We start from the raw sequence: 21,144 nt of genomic DNA, 5'->3' as shown, positions 1-21,144 counted from the left end.
TCTAAATATTTAAATTTTGGGGACAACAAGTTTTCTTTCATGGTCATCATTTTTAGAAATCTTTCTATAACTTAGGGAAGTGTTATAAATAATACAGAGTGGGAATATCCTAGGGAGAAATGAGAATTTCTGATTCTAAGAGGGACAGTAAATAATTTCATCTCATGTACCAAATCTGAGTGGTTGGCAGTGGCTGTCGAGACTTTAGAGTGCTATGTTGATGAGGATTCTGGGTCTGGGGCCAGGCTCTGTCATGTCATGAGTGATTAGTAATGTTTGCAATAAATGCAGAATTGTAAGGGAAAGCACATATCATATTTTGCCACTGCTGCTGTATTGCTGAGATTCTGCCATTTTTTTGTTCTTCTTTGGTGTCCAGGAAGGGCTTAGACCCATGAATGTTAACATTATAATGCCATATGGGGACATACAGTAAAAACACATGAAAACCTCCATGTTCGGGGTATGCCTATCCTGGGATATGAATGGTAGTAGATCCTAGGCAGTGTTGTGTGAGTAACCAGATTGCCAAAGTGATGGGGCGAGGGATGGGGAGAAGGCATTTGCTGGTTTCCATGCTGTAAAGACTTTTGCCCTGGCTGATTCCAAGCCACCAATGTGAGGTCATTAAACTCAGAGCTGGAAAGACATGTGTATAGCCCAGGCCAGTATGAGGAGGCTACAGCCAACCAGTAATTATAAGTGAACTTCTAGGGTTCAGGGTGCTGAGTAAACCCTGGGCCATAGAATGGAGGATGGACATAGGGATCCAAGGAAGGACCAGAAGGCCATAGACAGATCAGCTGTGTGCAGCTGGGGAACAGTATCAGCTATAAATCAGAGCTCAGGCCAACATTTCAAAGTTATAACAACATAAGAATCAGTTTCAATGCCACCCTCCAAAAACATACATTTTACCTTATCTACCAATATAATGCATCTTCCAGGTCCATATGCTGAGACAGCATAGTATATCAGTAATGAGCATGTTTTTTGTTTTTGTTTTGTTTTCTTTTTTGAGAGGGAGTTTCGCTTTTGTTGCCCAGGCTGGAGTGCAATGGTATGATCTCAGCTCACCGCAACCTCCACCTCCCGGATTCAAGTGATTCTCCTGCCTCAGCCTCCCGAGTAGCTGGGATTACAGGCATGCGCCAACACGCCCAGCTAACTTTGTATTTTTAGTAGAGACAGGGTTTCTCCATGTTGGTCAGGCTGGTCTCAAACTCCCAACCTCAGGTATCTGCCCGCCTCAGCCTCCCAAAGTGCTGGGATTACAGGCATGAGCCACCACGCCCGGTCCTAAGTGCATGGTTTTTAGAGCCAGACACCATGGGTTTGAGTTCTAGCTCCACCATGTATTAAATATTAGCTCCGAAACCTTGAGAAAATTACTTAACCTCTCTGTGCCTCAGTTTTCTCATCTATTAAAATAGGGATATTAATAGTACCATCGGGTCATTTAAAATTAAATGACTTAGTAACTGTAAACCGCATAGAACAACATGTGCATTTACTGCATGGAGACTGATGCGTAAGTGCATAATAAAGGTACATAAAATGTAGATTTGCAACTTTTATCAAAATATCATTTTCAGTATATAATTTGCCCTTGAACTTAGGACAGAGGCACAGGATAGCTATGATAAAAATGCTCACTAGTGTAACTGATTAACTCTACATTTATAAGCATAACAATTTCACTTGTCTTTCTATATCATCCCATTTATCTTGGGAAGATAAGTAGGAATAACAATTATAATAGCAAATATACACCATTTTTAAAGTTCCATTTTATAGTAATTTAGATTTTTTATGGCAAATTTAGTAACAAGGCCAAAATTGAGATGTTTTTATTCTTACAGATTTCATTTTACATTGAAAAGTGGCACTGTTTTTCTTATGTTGAAGAGTTTACTGAAGAAACTTCATATCAGAGATTTAGTGTTTTAATCTATAACAGATTGTGCATATAATAAAGGACATTTTTTCCTATTGGAAATCTAAAAAATATGTCAATTTCTCAAACATAAATTCGTAAAATAAAAATTCTGGCAGTGGTCAAGCTCATTATACCACAATGATCCTGTTTTCCTCAGCAATAGATTTAACCTTCTAACTTTGTAAATTTCACATTTAGCCAAGTTTTTAGCTAAAACAAGTTGAAATACAGCAGAAAGAACCTTTCCTGCCAGTTCTATTCAGTAGCATGTTAATCAGATTGCAGTAATAAGTATGAAACAATGCATGCAATTAGCAGTGGTTAATTTGAAACTACTTCATGTCAGTTTCTTTCAGAGCAATACGTTAGTAGAGTAATTATTTATTACCCTGAGGACATGATCAATGATATCCTTCCATAATAACGTCTGCAAAAAGAGTAGGCATCTTCATTTGCATAAAAAGGAAGCTATAGAAACTGTTTTTTTTTCAGCTAAATAAAAGCAGAAAACTGTTTCTAAGCTCTTTCCAACCATTTCGTTAGTAGTAATAGATAAGCAAATCATTTGTTACACTTCAATATTTTTATGGTAACATAATGGTGAGGGGAAAAAAACAGCATTAATGATTTAAATCCACAAAGACTATCTTTACTGAGAAAGAGGAAAATGACCCATTTCTAAATGTCATTGTTGTCATTAATGTATATGTGCTAGTCCCTTCCACACACATGATAATTCACTAGTTCCTTAGCTGGAGCTTGAGGATAGAATTTATGGCAAGCCCTAAGTGATAGCAAACACGTAGTCTACACAGCTGAGCCATGGTTGAGCAAAGGCAAGAAAAAGATGTCAGTTTAACCAGGTGGCCACAATTAGATGGAGCAGTTAAATAATCGGGAAGGTGATATTAGAGGATACCATCTTGGCTTTCAGAGTCCACTGTGTATTAGGCAAGAAATCCTGTATGTCTTCATATCCAATTAATTCATCTTATTATATAAAATACCCATCTTTCTGAGGAGGACAAGAAAAATATCTCACCTTTGGAAGTAGTTAGTCTGGACAATGGAAGAGAGGAGACTGAAAAATGGAATAGGCTGGAAAGGCCTAGTACAGCAGAAATTGTTAGAAGGTGCACAAGTCTGAGAAGGATCCTCCACATTTTACAACCCCAGGGGCCTCCATTCATTTGGAGAATGGCATTCTACCAGTTGGGCAGTTGACAGCCTGCACATCTACATGTAAGGGACCCAAACTAAGACAATGATTTGGGGCAGAGGTCGAGGTCAAATTTCAAAGTAGGAGGACCAAATGAAAGACACAGGCAGGTTTTAGAGTTCAAGTGAGGTAGGGGTCTACAAATTCTATTCAAGATGTCCTCAGTATTTAGCCATTTGTGGAAGGATTTGTAGCTCTAATAGAGTCAAAGACAAAGCTAAACCGGTGAAATTACCAGTCATATTGTACCTTATGTACAGAAAGTCAGCAGAGTATCATGTGTGGAAGAAAGAAATTTTCAAATGTATAAAATGAAAATAGCCGGGCGCGGTGGCTCACGCCTGTAATCCAGCACTTTGGGAGGCAGAGGCAGGCGGATCATCTGAGGTCGGGAGTTCGAGACCAGCCTGACCAACATGGTGAAACCCCGTCTCTGCTAAAAATACAGAATTAGCTGGGTGTGGTGGTGCATGCCTGTAATCCCAACTATTCGGGAGGCTGAGGCAGGAGAATGGCTTGAACCCAGAAGGCAGAGGTTGTGGTGAGCCGAGATCGTGCCATTGCACTCCATTCTGGGCAACAAGAGCGAAACGATGTCTCAAAAAAGAAAAAAGAAAAAGTGAAAATAATAATCTTTAATAAAAATATTTGCTTTTAAAAGTTTTGAAAGGATTACATGAGAATTGTGTACATGGTGGACTTCTAGGTTACAACCGCTCAGCTCCTTTTTGTTTTTCCAGGAATAGTGTTCCCTTTCTATGAGAGCCATCCTCCTTCCACACCATCATTTCTGCTGGGTATTGTTATACTTGTATATTACTCAGGCAACTTGATCCTATATTATCAATGTGGGTATGGGAGCTACCTGCCCTGTCAGGCTAGTTTGAATTCCTTTTTGCAATGTTTTGCATTCAAATAGGGAAAGAAAGTAGCATCTGGTGTGGTACCCGTGAAATGTAAAATGAAGAACTGTCAGCAGCAATGTTACCTATCATATGGAGGAAGATGGTCTGCAGTAGGACAGAGGAGAGCTGGCATGGAGAGTAGGAGAGAGAAAGTCCTGATGAAATTCAGTTCCCTATCATTTTATTTTTATTCTTTTAGGGACAGGGTCTTGTTCTGTCATCCAGGCTAGGGTGCAGTAGCATGATTATAGTTCACTGTAACCTCGAGCTCCTGGACTCAAGCAATCCTCCCACCTCAGCTTCCTGAGTAGGTAGGACTACACGTGCACACTACTATGCCCCGCTATTTTTTTTTTTTTTTGTAGAGATAGGGGTCTTGCTATGTTGCCCAAGCTCTTCTAGAACTTCAAGCAATACTCCCAACTTGGCCTCCCAAAATGCTGGGATTACAGTCATGGCCTGTCCGCTTTATCATCTTATACTTGAGGCCCAGTGGAACCCTTGCTCTTCCTGAAGTTTATTTAGTCAACTCTTCTTTCAGTATTGTTACACACTCCAGTGTCCTTTCAATGAATCACCTTCTCTCCTTAAGCTACTTTGAACTAGTTATCTGAGTAAAGCAGAATGCACTATACTCTGCTTAGCATGAAACACATACTAGGTCTAAAGAAAAGAAAAGTTGAAGAAGAAAAATAGAAAAAAGAGCAACATATTGAACATAAAATCCTATTAAGCTTATAGATAGTTCTTTGTAGATGAGTATTTAATTGCTTTCTAGTTGTTTCAGGTATATTAATCACGCTTTACTAAATAGTATTTGACTCTTTAAAATAAGATAATATATATTGTATATTAACTTATCTCAAATAATATCCACTACAGTTCCAGCCTAAAAATAGTGAACAAAAAAAAGTAATTAATTTATCTAATAATTTGCTTTTGTCCATTCACTTTTTAACTTTTCTAAGACTCTGGGTTAACATTTAATGCACCAGAAGTAATAACTTCCTAATGATGTGTCAATGATAGACAAGATCTAAGGTACCTTTGGGGAGCCATTACCACTTTTCCATCAGATTTGGCACAATATGTGCATGACTCCGTGTGTTACTAATTTGACAAGAATGGTTTCACTTCATGAAAACCTGAAGCATAAAGTAGAATTTGGGGCAGCTTCTTAGTTTATCCACAGCCAATAAACTTAGTAAAAGCTAGAGTAATAGCCAAGTCCCAGACATCTAAGGAAAAAAGTCCTGAGAATCAAGTTGTTGAGATTTTTTAGACTTCTCATCCAGTAAATGGGATAAGTACAGTTAGCAGCAATAGCGAAATGTTTCCTACTTGATTTTATTAACTGATAGATATGAATTAATGCATTAAGATATTTGATTGTGTCATAAAATGTGTATATGAGCATCATGATTCAATTTAATGTACCTATTACTGGTTGATGTGCCATTATATTAGGCTAAATTAAAATATTTTATGGAAAAAAAATTAAAGACTCAAAATTGATTGCATTCATAACTTAAAAGAAGATATTCTGTTCCATTAATATTTTGAATAATTAAAATAATATATCAGAAAACAACATGGAAAAATTGAGAGGTAGACAAGGTAAAACAAAAAGAAGTAGATATAAAGTCAAAAATAAAGTTCACTTTCTATGTTAAATCAATATTTTCTCTTTAGCTCAAGTTTTTAAGAATGAAAGAGTAACAAAAGTCACATGGTTAACTGCTTGTCTCAGCAAGTAAGTTTTAGGTCACATTGTCATAAAAGATATGAATATCCCTCCTTTCCTCTTCCAAATTACAAAACAAGTTGATTCCAAATACAGCATTTTAATTTTTTAAAATAATGTTGTCATAGATAATAAGATGATACTTTGAACAGACCATGAGAACTCTCTTAATGCAACACGTGCCTTATGAAGTGTGGCCATTTGTCTAGGACTGAGGGATTTCTGTGTCATGAGACTTTCAGTGTTAATATGAGGACAATCCTCCTGGCAAACTGAGGTAGTTGGTCATCCTACATGAGCAAATTACTTAGCTTATTTGTAAACATAAGTATCCAGGAGCAGACTTTTTTTTTAATGTTGTGATTTACCCTTGAAGACTTAAATTTTCTTCTCTCTCATTTTAAGTAGATAAAGGCTGATTACTATAAAGATATATGGCATTGACATATTGGGATTTTTCTAAGATTTCTTATTTCTCTTAATTCTAAAGATCAGGAAATATTCTACTTTTCCTACTGGTAGTGTGGTCCATGGACCAAAAGCATCAGCCTGACCTAGGAGTTTATGAACAGTTCATAATAATAAAATTAAACCCAGGCATACTGAGAACACAGAATCTATATTACTAACAAATTCCCAGATGATTCATATATGCAGTAAAGTTTAAGAGGCACTGATCTAAATTCTTTTAAGAATTTTCTAAATGTACTCCAATTTTTCTCTATTGTCAACTCTTTTGAATTCCTGTCTAGTCCACTACAAAGCCAATACAGCCTCATTAGCTCAGCTGCAATTAATTTGAGATGTGTAATCATTTGACCTGGGTTGGACTGACAATTTTGCCCTGCAACCCTTGCCCGACATATGAAAAGGAGTTATCTAAGTTAAGAGGGCAGAGTTGGAAAAACCTACCTTTTTAACTTGTTAACAAATTAATTCTTCGCAAAGTATTGAATGCTATCTGGAAATTAAAATAGTCCTAACAGGACCTTTATTTGAAAACTTTTTGTTTGCAGGCAATTCAAATTAGTGAAAGAAAGAAAACTATATGGGATTAAAAAATATTTGCACAGCCATCCCCCAGTTGACCTGATGTTGTGAAGTTTGATTGAACATTTTAGCAACTCTTGTCTAATTAGTTAAGCTCATTTAACCTACTTTCCTGGTACATTATACTGCAAAATTCAGTCTAATTCTTGGAAGAAGCCATACTCTTTTAGGTCTCCATGTTTTCTTTGCCTTCTTGTTTTCTGATTAGGAATCCCCTCCCCACCATCCTCAAACCCCGTACCTGTTTTCTGACTGGAAAACTCATACTCATCCTTTAAATGTCACTTTAAATGCTATTTCCTATGTAATCAATCATCCAGGTTTAGGTTCTCCCCTAGTGTGTCACTCTCTTTCTGTCTTTGAACAACTTTTAACATTTATTACATTGAATTATTAAGGTTTGTATGTGAGAGATCCTCCAAATGGACTATTGAGTCCTGCAGGCAAATTACCTTTATAGGCTTAACAATCAACTCCGACTATGGGCTTAATAGATATTTGTTGAATGCCTGAATGAATGAGAAACTGAGTGAATGAATATGTTTTAAATGATGAAAGCTCACTGAGAGTGAACATTTTGAATGTTCTTATATGTTTATTTCAATGAATTCTTACTGTCCTAGAAGAACCAGAAGAGAGAGGAGATACAGACATGTGTGTCTAGAAATCTGATGCAGGTCCATCATTTCAGTACACATAAACATCTTATGGAAGCTGAAACTGAAGTAACTGATGCTTTTTGCATTATTTCTTCAAAGTTTTCTTTGTTTAAAAAGTCAGCCCATTTGTACCACAAGGCAGATTGTTCTATGGTTTGCTCCAATTTCCACTAGTCCTCTGCTATGATGACTGGGCACACACTGGCTTGGTCTTTCCAGTCTCACTGTAAGAAGATAGACCTTTAATCTCCTAATGCATTACCTGAATGAAGACTGGCAATTGAGATTTGTCAACATTGGCAAAAATGCCATTTAAAGTTTACAAAGAGCTATCAACTTCAAGGATGAAGACTGAAATTTAATTTTAAAGTAAATTACACTTTTGGAGAAGATTAATGCAAATCGTTAGATGTGAATTTAAGTCAAATGCTTGCCCATAGTTTTTGGAAAATACCTACCTATATGTATGTCTTAAAATTAGCAAAAAAGCACCATTCCGGATCAAGAAGTGTACTGTTTTATTTAGGAATCTAAATTAACTATATCTTAGTGTACTTACACCCTTGTGGATTTGGGAGCAGGGACTGAATCTCAAATGTCTTCAGAGAGAAGGCTGATAAAGTAAATGAGTGAAGTGAGCCAGGTGGGGCTTGAGGTAACCCAAGAGTTTATGCTTTGTTGAAGGGGTAACATTTACTCTGTCTCAACAGATTATGATCATGCAGAAATATGACTCTAAGATTGCCATATATTTCAGTTTTTCAAAAGAAGCTGATGTTCTAGACATTTATACAAAATATCCCATCATTAAAAGGTTGGCAAGTAATTCATAATTTTAAACCTATGTGAGTTAAATAGAATATGTCTGCTGAGTGGATATGGCTCACAAACTAACAGTGTATACCCTTCGTTATGGAGGAATGTCTCTTTGAAATCTGAATTTAGACTGTTCTGACTCCATAAATAATTGGATGACCTTGCATGATAGAATGTGTTCTGCAAGTAGGTCTTTCCTAGTTGTAATGCCTCGTTGGAAAAGACTGCAGAAGGGTCGTGTAGACTCTGTCTGGAAAGAAACTAGTCAAGGATAAATGCCGTGCAATCTGAAATGGATGGGCGATACGTTACCCAAGGTAATTAGTTAAAAATAAATAATCCACACTTCAAAAAATGTATTTCAAGACTCCAGTAATAGTTCCTCTGGGGACATCAAAGTCTGTGTGGGTGTTTCCCCTATGGAAAATAGTTGCTTTAAGTATGGCCACTTTTAATAGGTGATGAAAGTTTCTCTACACCACACTTCACATCCATCATCCCTGAGTCTTGTTTAAAGTTACAGCATGATCTATTTTGTGCTATGGAAAATCTAAAAGCACCTATACCATGTTTTAGGGAGAATAACTAGTGAAAGAGCTGTCTCCTTTCCCTAAGACCATATTGGAAATTCCAGCAATAGCTATCAGTGAAGAACTGTTGTACCCAGTAATAGAAATCTATTAATAGTAGGCCATAGCAAAGGCAGCAGCAAAACACAGCAATAAAAGGCAAGAGAACCCAATATAAAGAGTTTCCATGAATAAGCACACTGGGAAATCTCCCTAACCCCCAGATAACTGGGCATATATTGGCAATCTAATTTCTGGCAATAAAGCTTAAAGGGGAGTAATGCCATAATCATATGTATTTTAAAAATTGTTTCTTGTATTATACTTTTAGGATGATGAGGCTTAAAATATATAGGTTACACTCTACAACATAAATATTTCATAATATAATGCTCTGAATTTTGTGAAACTCAATTAACAATTTTATACTTCTGCAATCTAATGTTGGTATTTACTAATATCAGCATTACTGCTGTCAATTTTACAAGAATAAAGTATAAAATATGTGGCTTGTCGCCCATGTTTGCTTTTTGCTCAATTCATTGGTGCTATTCTTACAGCTTAGCACTCTGATAAACCCAAAACATTCCTTCTTCTCTTTGCCCTTCCAGAACCTCCTCTATAGCACCCCATATGCAAATCTACAAGATCACTTTACTAAAATAAACTGAATGAATGTTATAAGCTATATGAATAGCAAGATATAATATAGAATCTGTCCAAATTAAATGATTTGTTTCAAGATGTTGGCATCATCATCTTTTGCTTCTTAATAATCATAATATCCTTACAAAAGAAATCATCACAAAATGGGCACAAATACAGGATTTATATATTGTTTTTAAAGATCATCTCTGTTTATTGCAAAGCACTCACTCTTCCAAGATCTTCCACTGCCTTGTTTCTCTAGCTCTTCTGCAGATAGTCATTCTGTTTTCCATTCCAGTGTATCAAAAGAAACTTGAACACTATTTCTTACATTTTCATAATTTCATAATACAAAACATTTCTTAGACTGATTGAAATGACTCAAACAGACAAAGAAGAATTGGATGACCATGATTTTTAATGCTTTCTCATACGTCCACTTGGTCAGAATGCAATTTGACCAATGGACTCTTACACATATGCATGAATTTCTGCTATATTAAAAAATCTGTACAAGAGGCAGTGTGGGATATTAACTCAACTTCTTTTTAAATCTTATTGTCTTTGTCTATATTGTTTTGTTATCTATTCTAATAGACGATAAATAAGGCATCTCCAAGTTGTTATTCAATTAATTATTGTCTATTTTCATATCTTTAGAGAAATTCACTTTTGATGGCACTTTACTGAGAAGCAGTATATGGCTTTGGAAGAGGGAAGCCAGGAGGAACAGTCAACAATACTAGAGGGCTTTACCTCTTTAGAAAATGAGTAGGACAGGGAAAGACACATTCATTTCAGCTTGGATCATTACCACACTGGTTCTGTTCCTCTGTTTCTAGGTGATAGAAACAATTAAAATGGAAATCTGGTTCAAAGGAGATAAAGAAGAATAGGTCATTGCCCATCACTCTGAATATCCAGACACTAGTTCAGCGTGACTCATCTATCCACACTGTGAAACCAGTCTGGAGGGCTGAAGTTCTCACATATCTATAAATGATCATTTGTTTTATACTAAAAGCCTAGTATTATATCAGCTGTATTAATTACCACCCAAATTAAAGTTTAAATATTATTCTGTTTTCATTTTGATTGGGGGAGGTATGGCTGTGGGGTTTCTTTCTATTCTAGCAATGAAGAAAGACCAAGGTGACTTTGGAGAGGAAGTTGCCTTGTGATACTATCATTATCAGTAATTAGCCACAGTTAGTAAGCTTCTATTAATCAAATCCACATCTGGAAAGACTTTAACTAATTCTGTGAGATGAACAGTGTTTGCAAAATTTAAAGCATGGAAGGTAACATTGCATAATTTCACAAGCCAATGCAGGGCAGAAAAGAGAAAAAACTCTATCATTAAAGCATAAATAACCTTGTTTAATTAAGCCTATTATCTATAAAATTATATATAACATTTATATAAGTACATAGAATAATTATAACTATTCCCTTTAACAAAATTGGAAACTCAAAATAAAAAAAAATAACTTCTACATATATCCCTCTCATATATTAGTTAATGAGATGCTATAGCAAATGTCTAAGCATGTTGTAAATAAACAGGCAAAGGTAAAAATCTTAATTTTAAGGGACTGTGAGTGTAAATCCTTGGCATTTCTAGGCATGAGGGGAAATGTCCAAATTCTAAGGAAGAATGTAAGGGGTGAAGATGTGATATTACTATCCCTTTCCTCTGCCCTAGGAAAGGAGAGATGAAATACAAAGAGGAGGTTGGGCAGCTCCTACTCTCCTGTACCTTTAGCCAAGTGTTCTGGGGACACCAGAGAGGTACCAATCCATTCCAGAAAAAAAAAAGAAAAAAGTCTAAAACTTGGAATTTTTACTTTCAAACACAGAGCAATTTTATCCCTGAAAAAAATCTCCCCATTTGACTCATCTTAATATTAGCCAGCTTCACAACCCATGCGTACTAGTCAGGGTTCTCTTAAGGGAACAGAATTAATAGGATATATGTATATATGAAGGGGAGTTTATTAAGAAATGACTCACACAATCACAAAGTGAAGTCCCACGATAGGCCATCTACAAACTGAGGAGCAAGGAAGCCAGTCCGAGTCCCAAACCTCAAGAGCAGGGAAGCCAACTGTGCAGCCTTCAGTCTATGGCCAAAGGCCCGAGAGCCCCTGGCAAACTACTGGTGTAACTCCAAGAGTCCAAAAGTTGAAGAACTTGGAGTCTGATGTTCGAGGGCAGGAAGCATCCAGTGTAGGTGAAAGATGAAGACCAGAAGACTCAGCAAGTCAGCTCCTTCCACATTTTTCTGCCTGCTTTATTCTAGCCACAATGGCAGATGATTAGATGGTGACCACCCACACTGAGGGTGGGTCTGCCTCTCCCAGTTCACTGACTCAAATGTTTATCTCCTTTGGTAACACCCTTACAGACACACCCAGGAACACTACTTTGCATCCTTCAATTAAATCAAGTTGACACTCAATATTAACCATCATACCATGCTTTATTTAATTTTACTACCTCCTAATCCAAGACTTCCAAGAAACTATATTTATACCTAAATTAGCACAGCACCTACTGTATCTGCTTCCCGGTTTAGATGTAATGAAAAGAGCATAAAGTCTTGAGCCTACCATTTTCTAGTCAGGGAATATTGGGCAATTAATTAAACCTCACTGAGTCCTGTTTTTCTCTTCTACATTTTTTTGCAAAAGTCAAATCATTTTATGCTTTCTAAATTGCTCTACGAAGGAAAAATAGTAATATTCTCACAAAATAGATACTGCGGGATGATTGTATTTGCTTATATATTTTTTCTTTTATTGTTCTTTTTTCCTTCTGACTCTATCTGAAACTTGCCTCTTTCCCTAAGACATTATTTTCATCAGAGCATTGTCTCCTTCACTTTTTTTTGTCACCATGACCATGGAGGTATGGCAGATGTCTTCCTTGCTTCTTATAGCTACTTTCAGATTACTGTCTTCCCCTACTCCCTGAAATCCCTGGATTTTAAGCTTATACAATCAGAATATATCACTCCTATCCTTCCTAATAGATTTGCAGCACCTTGGTCCACTTGCCTTCATTCTGTAAAAATTTTAGTCCCCTATTCACGGTCATTTCTCTTAAATATTGCAGCTCTACAATCTTTGATTATTTTAAGATTCATAAAAACAATCTTTTCAATAACTTGTCCCTTCATTTATAAGTCAAATATTTGTTGAGTGCCTCAAATTTGTCAGGCCCTAATTTCAAGGTGGGAGATAGAGCAGGAAAGCAAAAAAAAAAATCACTGCTTTTAAGGAAATGGCATTCAAGTGGAGGAGATAGATAATAAATAAAACCAAAAAGTAAAAATATATAGTATTTCAGATCATGATAAGGGCTGAGAAGAAGAAAAAGATAAACCAAGAAACATAGCTATGTAATGTATATGTTTGGGGGTGGGGTGATGGGGCTTTGAAATTTTAAGAATGGTCAGAAAAAGTATCACTAAGAAGATGACTTCTGAATAAGGATATGAGGGAATTCAAAATACAAAGCCTTTTTAGCTTCTTGACCTTCTCCCCTCTAATAGTCTGTTGCCTACCCTACCTCAGCAGTATGTCCCCATAGACACAACTTATATCTTCTTGATACCAAGAAATGTACCCTTCCGTTCTCTCAGTTCCAAACCTGCCACTCTGTGATCACCACCCCTATCATTCCAACCCCTACCTTTGCGCATTCTAGCTCATACAGTCCTTCATTCCCACTGGATCTAGGGTTAGTTAGTTGTCTTACCAACTTTTTATTATTTCTCATCCCTCCTTTTGTTTTTACTTCCTTCCTTAATTAGTTGGTATTAATGGCCCACTACTAAAATCACTTTCTTGTATATAATATTAAGCCTCAACTGCCCTGCCTACTCCCTTTATTGTGCCCACTTGGCAGAATCCCAATCTTGATTAATCTACTCAATCTTGCATCTCAACAGCTAAATGTGATAATTACCTCATACATACTTTAATCTCCTCAAACCTGTAATAGTTTCTCTGACTCCCTCAAACTCAATTGAGGATTATGTGTCTTACGTTTCTGAGAAACTTCATTTCTGTATATTTCCAACATTACATTTACCAACCAACCCAAATACAGCTAATATACTCTGCCTTGTTGCTTCTCAGCAAGAATAAACTGTCCATGACTTATTTATTATTTACCTATTTATTTTTTTGAGATGGAGTTTCGCTCTTGTTCTGGTTGGAGTGCACTGGCATGATTTTGGCTCACTGCAACCTCCGCCTCCCAGGTTCAAGTGATTCTTCTGCCTCAGCCTCCCAAGTAGGTGGGATTCCAGGTGCATGCCACCACACCCAGCTAATTTTTTGTATTTTTAGTAGAGATGGGGTTTCATCATGTTGGCCAGGCTAGTCTCAAACTCTTGACCTCAGGTGATCTGCCTGCCTCAGCCTTCCAAAGTGCAGGGATTACAGGCGTGAGCCACCACGTACAGCCCATGACTTTCTTTAGGATGAACTCCTCCTTTAATAGACATAAATTATTCTCTAATCACATTAAATCCCTCATTTTACTAAATCCCCCATCAGCACACAAACATACTATAATATTTTATATCAAGAGAGAGTCAGGCCTCTGAGCCCAAGCCAAGCCATCACATCCCCTGTGACTTGCCGGTATATGCCCTGATGGCCTGAAGTAACTGAAGAATCACAAAAGAAGTGAATATGCCCTGCCCCACCTTAACTGATGACATTCCACCACAAAAGAAGTGTAAATGACTGGTCCTTGCCTTAAGTGATGACATTACCTTGTGAAAGTCCTTTTCCTAGCTCATCCTGGCTCAAAAAGCTCCCCCACTGAGCATCTTGCGACCCCCACTCCTGCCTGCCAGAGAACAAACCCCCTTTGACTGTAATTTTCCTTTACCTACCCAAATCCTATAAAACGGCCCCACCCCTATCTCCCTTCACTGACTCTCTTTTCAGACTCAGCCCGCCTGCACCCAGGTGAAATAAACAGCCATGTTGCTCACACAAAGCCTGTTTGGTGGTCTCTTCACACGGATGCGCATGAAATTTGGTGCCGTGACTCGGATCAGGGGACCTCCCTTGGGAGCTCAATCCCCTGTACTCCTGTTCTTTGCTCCGTGAGAAAGATCCACCTATGACCTCAGGTCCTCAGACTGACCAGCCCAAGGAACATCTCACCAATTTTAAATCAGGTAAGCGGCCTCTTCTTACTCTCTTCTCCAACCTCTCTCACTGTCCCTCAACCACTTTCTCCTTTCCACTCTTTAATCTCTCTCTTCTCTTAATTTCAATAACTTTCATTTTCTGATAGAGACAAAGGAGACACGTTTTATCCATGGACCCAAAACTCCGGCGCTGGTCACGGACTGGGAAGGCAGCCTTCCCTTGGTGTTTAATAATTGCAGGGACGCCTCTCTGATTATACACTGACGTTTCAAGGGTGTCAGACCACGCAGGGACGCCTGCCTTGGTCCTTCACCCTTAGTGGCAAGTCCCGCTTTCCTGGGGCAGGGGCAAGTACCCCAACCCCTTCTCCTTCACCCTTAGCAGCAAGTCCTGCTTTTCTAGGGGGCAAGAACCCCCAATCCCTTATTTCCACGCCCCAACCTCTTATCTCTGTGCCCCAATCCCTTATTTCCGCACCCCGACCTCTTATCTCTGTGCCCCAATCCCTTATTTCCACGCCCCAACCTCGTATCTCTGCACCCCAATCCCTTATTTCCATGCCCCGACCTCTTATCTCTGTGCCCCAACCCCTTTCCCCACTTTTCTGGAAGGTAAGATCCCCCGAACCCCTTCCCTCTGTTTCTCTACTCTCTTTTCTCTAGGCTTGCTTCCTTCACTATGGGCAACCTTCCACCCTCCATTCCTCCTCCTACTCCCTTGGCCTGTGTTCTCAAAAACTTAAAACCTCTTCAACTCACACCTGACCTAAAACTTAAATGCCTTATTTTCTTCTGCAATGCCACTTGACCCCAATACAAACTCGACAGTAGTTCCAAATAGCCAGAAAATGGCACTTTGAATTTTTCCATCCTGCAAGATCTAAATAATTCTTGTCATAAAATAGGCAAACGGTCTGAGGTGGCTGACGTCCAGGCATTCTTTTACACATCAGTCCCTTCCTAGTCTCTGTGCCCAGTGCAACTCGTCCCAAATCTTCCTTCTTTCCCTCCCACCTGTCCCCTCAGTACCAACCCCAAGCGTCGTTGAGTCTTTCTAATCTTCCTTTTCTACAGACCCATCTGACCTCTCCCTTCCTCCCCAGGCTGCTCCTCGCCAGGCCGAGCTAGGTCCCAATTCTTCCTCAGCCTCTGCTCCTCCACCCTATAATCCTTTTATCACCTCCCCTCCTCACACCTGGTCCGGATTACAGTTTCGTTCCGTGACTAGCCCTCCCCCTCCTGCCCAGCAATTTACTCTTAAAAAGGTGGCTGGAGCTAAAGGCATAGAGTCAAGGTTAATGCTCCTTTTTCCTTATCCCAAATCAGAAGCGTTTAGGCTCTTTTTCATCAAATATAAAAATCCAGCCCAGTTCATGACTTGTTTGGCAGCAACCCTGAGACGCTTCACAGCCCTAGACCCTAAAAGTTCAAAAGGCCGTCTTATTCTCAAAATACATTTTATTACCCAATCTGCTCCCAACATTAAATAAAACTCCAAAAATTAAATTCCGGCCCTCAAACCCCACAACAGGATTTAATTAACCTCGCCTTCAGGCATACAATAATAGAAAAAAGTTGCAATTCCTTGCCTCCACTGTGAGACAAACCCCAGCCACATCTCCAGCACACAAGAACTTCAAAACGCCTGAACCGCAGTGGCCAGGCGTTCCTCCAGAACCTCCTCCCACAGGAGCTTGCTACACATGCCAGAAATCTGGCCACTGGGCCAAGGAATGCCCGCAGCCCGGGATTCTTCCTAAGCCACGTCCCAGCTCTGTGGGACCCCACCGAAAATCGGACTGTTCAACTCACCTGGCAGCCACTCCCAGAGCCCCTGTAACTCTGGCCCAAGGCTCTCTGACTGACTCCTTCTCAGATCTTCTCGGCTTAGCGGCTGAAGACTGACACTGCCCGATAGCCTCGGAAGCCCCCTAGACCATCACGGACGCCAAGCTTCGGGTAACTCTCACAGTGGAAGGTAAGCCCATCCCCTTCTTAATCAATACGGAGGCTACTCACTCCACATTACCTTCTTTTCAAGGGCCTGTTTCCCTTGCCTCCATAACTGTTGTGGGTATTGATGGCCAGGCTTCTAAACCTCTTAAAACTCCCCAACTCTGGTGCCAACTTAGACAATACTCTTTTAAGCACTCCTTTTTAGTTATCCCCACCTGCCCAGTTTTCTTATTAGGCTGAGACACTTTAACTAAATTACCTGCTTCCCTGACTATTCCTGGACTACAGCTATATCTCATTGCCGCCCTTCTTCCCAATCCAAAGCCTCCTTTGCGTTCTCCTCTTGTATCCCCCCACCTTAACCCACAAGTATAAGATACCTCTACTCCCTCCTTGGCGACCAATCATGCACCCCTTACCATCTCATTAAAACCTAATCACCCTTACCCCACTCAACGCCAATATCCCATCCCGCAGCACACTTTAAAAAGATTAAAGCCTGTTATCACTCGCCTGCTACAGCATGGCCTTTTAAAGCCTATAAACTCTCCCTACAATTCCCCCATTTTACCTGTCCTAAAACCAGAGAAGCCTTACAAGTTAGTTCAGGATCTGCGCCTTATCAACCAAATTGTTTTGCCTATCCACCCCGTGGTGCCAAACCCATATACTCTCCTATCCTCAATACCTGCCTCTACAACCCATTATTCTGTTCTGGATCTCAAACATGCTTTCTTTACTATTCCTTTGCACCCTTAATCCCAGCCTCTCTTCGCTTTCACTTGGACTGACCCTGACACCCATCAAGCTCAGCAAATTACCTAGGCTGTACTGCCGCAAAGCTTCACAGACAGCCCCCATTACTTCAATCAAGCCCAAATTTCTTCCTCAACTGTTACCTATCTTGGCATAATTCTCATAAAAACACACGTGCTCTCCCTGCCAATCGTGTCTGACTGACCCCTCAAACCCCAGCACCTTCTACAAAACAACAACTCCTTTCCTTCCTAGGCATGGTTAGCGCGGTCAGAATTCTTACACAAGAGCCAGGCCCACACCCTGTAGCCTTTCTGTCCAAACTTGACCTTACTGTTTTAGCCTAGCCCTCATGTCTGCGTGCAGTGGCTGCCGCTGCTTTAATACTTTTAGAGGCCCTCAAAATCACAAACTATGCTCAACTCACTCTCTACAGTTCTCATAACTTCCAAAATCTATTTTCTTCCTCATACCTGATGCATATACTTTCTGCTTCCCGGCTCCTTCAGCTGTACTCACTCTTTGTTGAGTCTCCCACAATTACCGTTGTTCCTGGCCCAGACTTCAATCCGGCCTCCCACATTATTCCTGATACCACACCTGACCCCCATGACTGTATCCCTCTGATCCACCTGACATTCACCCCATTTCCCCAAATTTCCTTCTTTTCTGTTCCTCACCCTGATCATGCTTGATTTATTGATGGCGGTTCCACCCAGGCCTAATCGCCACACACCAGTAAAGGCAGGTTATACTATAGCACAAGCCACTAGCCCGCCTCTTAGAACCTCTCATTTCCTTTCCATAGTAGAAATCTATCCTCAAGGAAATAACTTCTCAGTGTTCCATCTGCTATTCTACTACTCCTCAGGTATTCTTCAGGCCCCTTCCCTTCTCTACACATCAAGCTCGAGGATTTGCCCCACCCAGGACTGGCAAATTAGCTTTACTCAACATGCCCTGAGTCAGATAACTAAAATACCTCTTAGTCTAGGTAGATACTTTCACTGGATAGGTAGAGGCCTTTCCTACAGGGTCTGAGAAGGCCACCGCAGTCATTTCTTCCGTTCTGTTAGACTTAATTCCTCAGTTTAGCCTTCCCACCTCTATACAGTCTGATAACAGATGAGCCTTTATTAGTCAAATCAGCCAAGCAGTTTTTCAGGCTCTTAGTATTCAGTGAAACCTTTATTTCCCTTACGGTCCTCCATCTTCAAGAAAAGTAGAATGGACTGAAGGTCTTTTAAAAACACACCTCACCAAGCTCAGCCACCAAAAAGGACTGGACAATACTTTTATCACTTTCCCTTCTCAGAATTCAGGCCTGTCCTCAGAATGCTACAGGGTACAGCCCATTTAAGCTCCTGTATAGAAGACGCTCCTTTTCATTAGGCCCCAGTCTCATTCCAGACACCAGACCAACTTGGACTGTGCCCCAGAAAACTTGTCATCCCTACTATCTTCTGTCTAGTCATACTCCTATTCACCATTCTCAACTACTCATACATGCCCTGCTCTTGTTTACACTGCCAGTTTACACTGTTTTTCCAAGCCATCACAGCTGATATCTCCTGGTGCTATCCCCAAACTGCCACTCTTAACTCTTAAATAAATAATCTTTGCTGGCAGGACTATGCTGAATCTCCTTAGGCAGTCTCTAATCAGATATCCTGAGTCATCCCAATTCTTAGACCTTTTATACCTGTTTTTCTCCTTCTGTCATTCCATTTAGTTTCTCAATTCATCCAAAACCGTATCCAGGCCATCATCAATCATTCTATATGACAAATGTTTCTTCTAACATCCCCACAATATCACCCCTTACCACAAGACCTCCCTTCAGCTTAATCTCTCCCACTCTAGGTTCCCACGCCGCCCCTAATCCCGCTTGAAGCAGCCCTGAGAAACATCGCCCATTCTCTCTCCATACCACCCCCCAAAAATTTTCGCCGCCCCAGCACTTCAACACTATTTTGTTTTATTTTTCTTATTAATATAAGAAGGCAGGAATGTCAGGCCTCTGAGCCCAAGCCAAGCCATCGCATCCCCTGTGACTTGCATGTATACGCCCAGATGGCCTGAAGTAACTGAAGAATCACAAAAGAAGTGAATATGCCCTGCCCCACCTTAACTGATGACATTCCACCATGAAAGAAGTGAAAATGGCCGGTCCTTGCCTTAAGTGATGACATTACCTTGTGAAAGTCCTTTTCCTAGCTCATCCTGGCTCAAAAAGCACCCCCACTGAGCACCTTGGGACCCCCACTCCTGCCCGCCAGAGAACAAACTCCCTTTGACTGTAATTTTCCTTTACCTACCCAAATCCTATAAAACGGCCCCACCCTTATCTCCCTTCGCTGACTCTCTTTTCGGACTCAGCCCACCTGCACCCAGGTGAAATAGCTATATTGCTCACACAAAGCCTGTTTGGTGGTTTCTTCACACGGACGCGCATGAAAGAAAAGAAAGAGAGAAAGTGAAAGAAAGAGAGGAAGGAAGGATGGAAGGAAGGAAGGTAAGAAAGAAGGAAGGAAGGAGGGAGTGAGGGAGGGAGGGACAGAGGGAGGAAGGGAGGGAGGAAGGGAGAGAGGGAGGGAGGGAAATACTCTTCAACTTCATATTCCTCTTCAACCACTATAGCATATCTCTGCTTCCATTTATGGAAAAGCTTCAAAATAGTTGTGTGTACTCATTGTCTCCATTTCCTCTCCTTTTTTCACTCTGGAACCCACCAAAATTAGGCTTTTGTTCTCATCATTCCAACGAAAAGCTCTGGTCAAAGTCCCTGCAATGTCCATTTTGATAAATCAAGTCCTGCATTCATAATTTTTATCTTTAATTCAACCTATCTGTGCCTTCCACACAGTTGATCACTTCTTCTTGTAGTACCCTGTTCATTTGGCTTCCAGGACACTATTCTCCTTGTTCCTCTTTCATCTTATTTACTGTACCTGGTTATTTTACTTTTCTGGTCTCCTATCATCTTATAATAATGAAATTTTCCAGGGCTTAATCATTAGACCTCTTTCCTCTTTTTGGCAAAACCCACTGACTTTCATTTCACCCTATGGATGTGAATACTATGCCTATACTGACACTTGCAAACATTCATATTTCCATTCAGTACCCTTCCTTGAACTCCAGATTCTTACTTTCAACTAGTCACTTTACCTCTCCTCTTAGATATCTAATATATAACTCAAATGTAACAGCTGCAAAGGTGACTTCATTTATTTTCTTCTTCCTTCCAAAACGATTTTGTTTTTCCGAATCAGTGACAACGACTTCCTTTAAATTGCTCAAGTCAAATTTCTTGGGGCCATTTTCACTTTTCTCTTTCTCTCATACTCTAAACTGTGAAGGAAAAAAATGCTCTGGAGTGATTCATCAGGCAAGGAAAACTATTTGGTCCCAGAACTTTGGGAGGCTGAGGTGGGAGTATCACTTGAGCCCAGAAGTTCAAGAGCAGCCTGGGCAACAGAGTGGGACCCTGTCTCTTCAGAAAGAAAGAGAAAAAACAAACTAGCCAGGCATGGTGGCATTCACCTGTGGTGCCAGATACTTGGGAGGCTGTGATGGGAGGGAGGTTGAGGCTATAGTATTCATGTTCATGGCACTGCCTTCCAGCCTGGGTTCAGAGCTAGGCCCCATCTCCAAAAAAGAAAAAGAAAAACTTTACTCAAAATTATTGCAATAAGGATCGAGTC

The 21,144-nt window shown here is 39.9% G+C and overlaps 2 long non-coding RNA genes across 2 annotated transcripts in view, besides 2 other annotated features; both read right to left on the bottom strand.

The window, feature by feature from the left end:
- The window catches only part of LOC107986294 (uncharacterized), a 61,322-nt gene extending 49,613 nt beyond the window's left edge, over positions 1–11,709 (bottom strand). Inside the window, exon 1 of the long non-coding RNA XR_007058155.1 lies at positions 11,563–11,709. This is a non-coding gene — a long non-coding RNA (uncharacterized LOC107986294). The remainder of the gene's footprint in view (positions 1–11,562) is intronic.
- Positions 1–21,144, bottom strand: part of LINC00989 (long intergenic non-protein coding RNA 989) — an 83,868-nt gene that overhangs the window by 2,597 nt on the left and 60,127 nt on the right. The window lies entirely within an intron of this gene.
- Positions 13,340–14,335: an enhancer, noted in NCBI's record as "OCT4-NANOG-H3K27ac hESC enhancer chr4:80480683-80481678 (GRCh37/hg19 assembly coordinates)". NCBI's record gives its function as "activates a minimal SCP1, AML or CMV promoter by ChIP-STARR-seq in naive H9 embryonic stem cells {active_cell/tissue: H9 hESC(naive)}" and the evidence as "EXISTENCE:reporter gene assay evidence [ECO:0000049][PMID:30033119]".
- Positions 14,336–15,333: an enhancer, noted in NCBI's record as "OCT4-NANOG-H3K27ac hESC enhancer chr4:80479685-80480682 (GRCh37/hg19 assembly coordinates)". NCBI's record gives its function as "activates a minimal SCP1, AML or CMV promoter by ChIP-STARR-seq in naive H9 embryonic stem cells {active_cell/tissue: H9 hESC(naive)}" and the evidence as "EXISTENCE:reporter gene assay evidence [ECO:0000049][PMID:30033119]".

This window comes from Homo sapiens, chromosome 4, assembly GCF_000001405.40.
Source record: "Homo sapiens chromosome 4, GRCh38.p14 Primary Assembly".
Lineage (NCBI taxonomy): Eukaryota > Metazoa > Chordata > Mammalia > Primates > Hominidae > Homo > Homo sapiens.
Note: the sequence above shows the minus strand (reverse complement) of the source record. Positions and strands in the feature narration are given on the sequence as shown.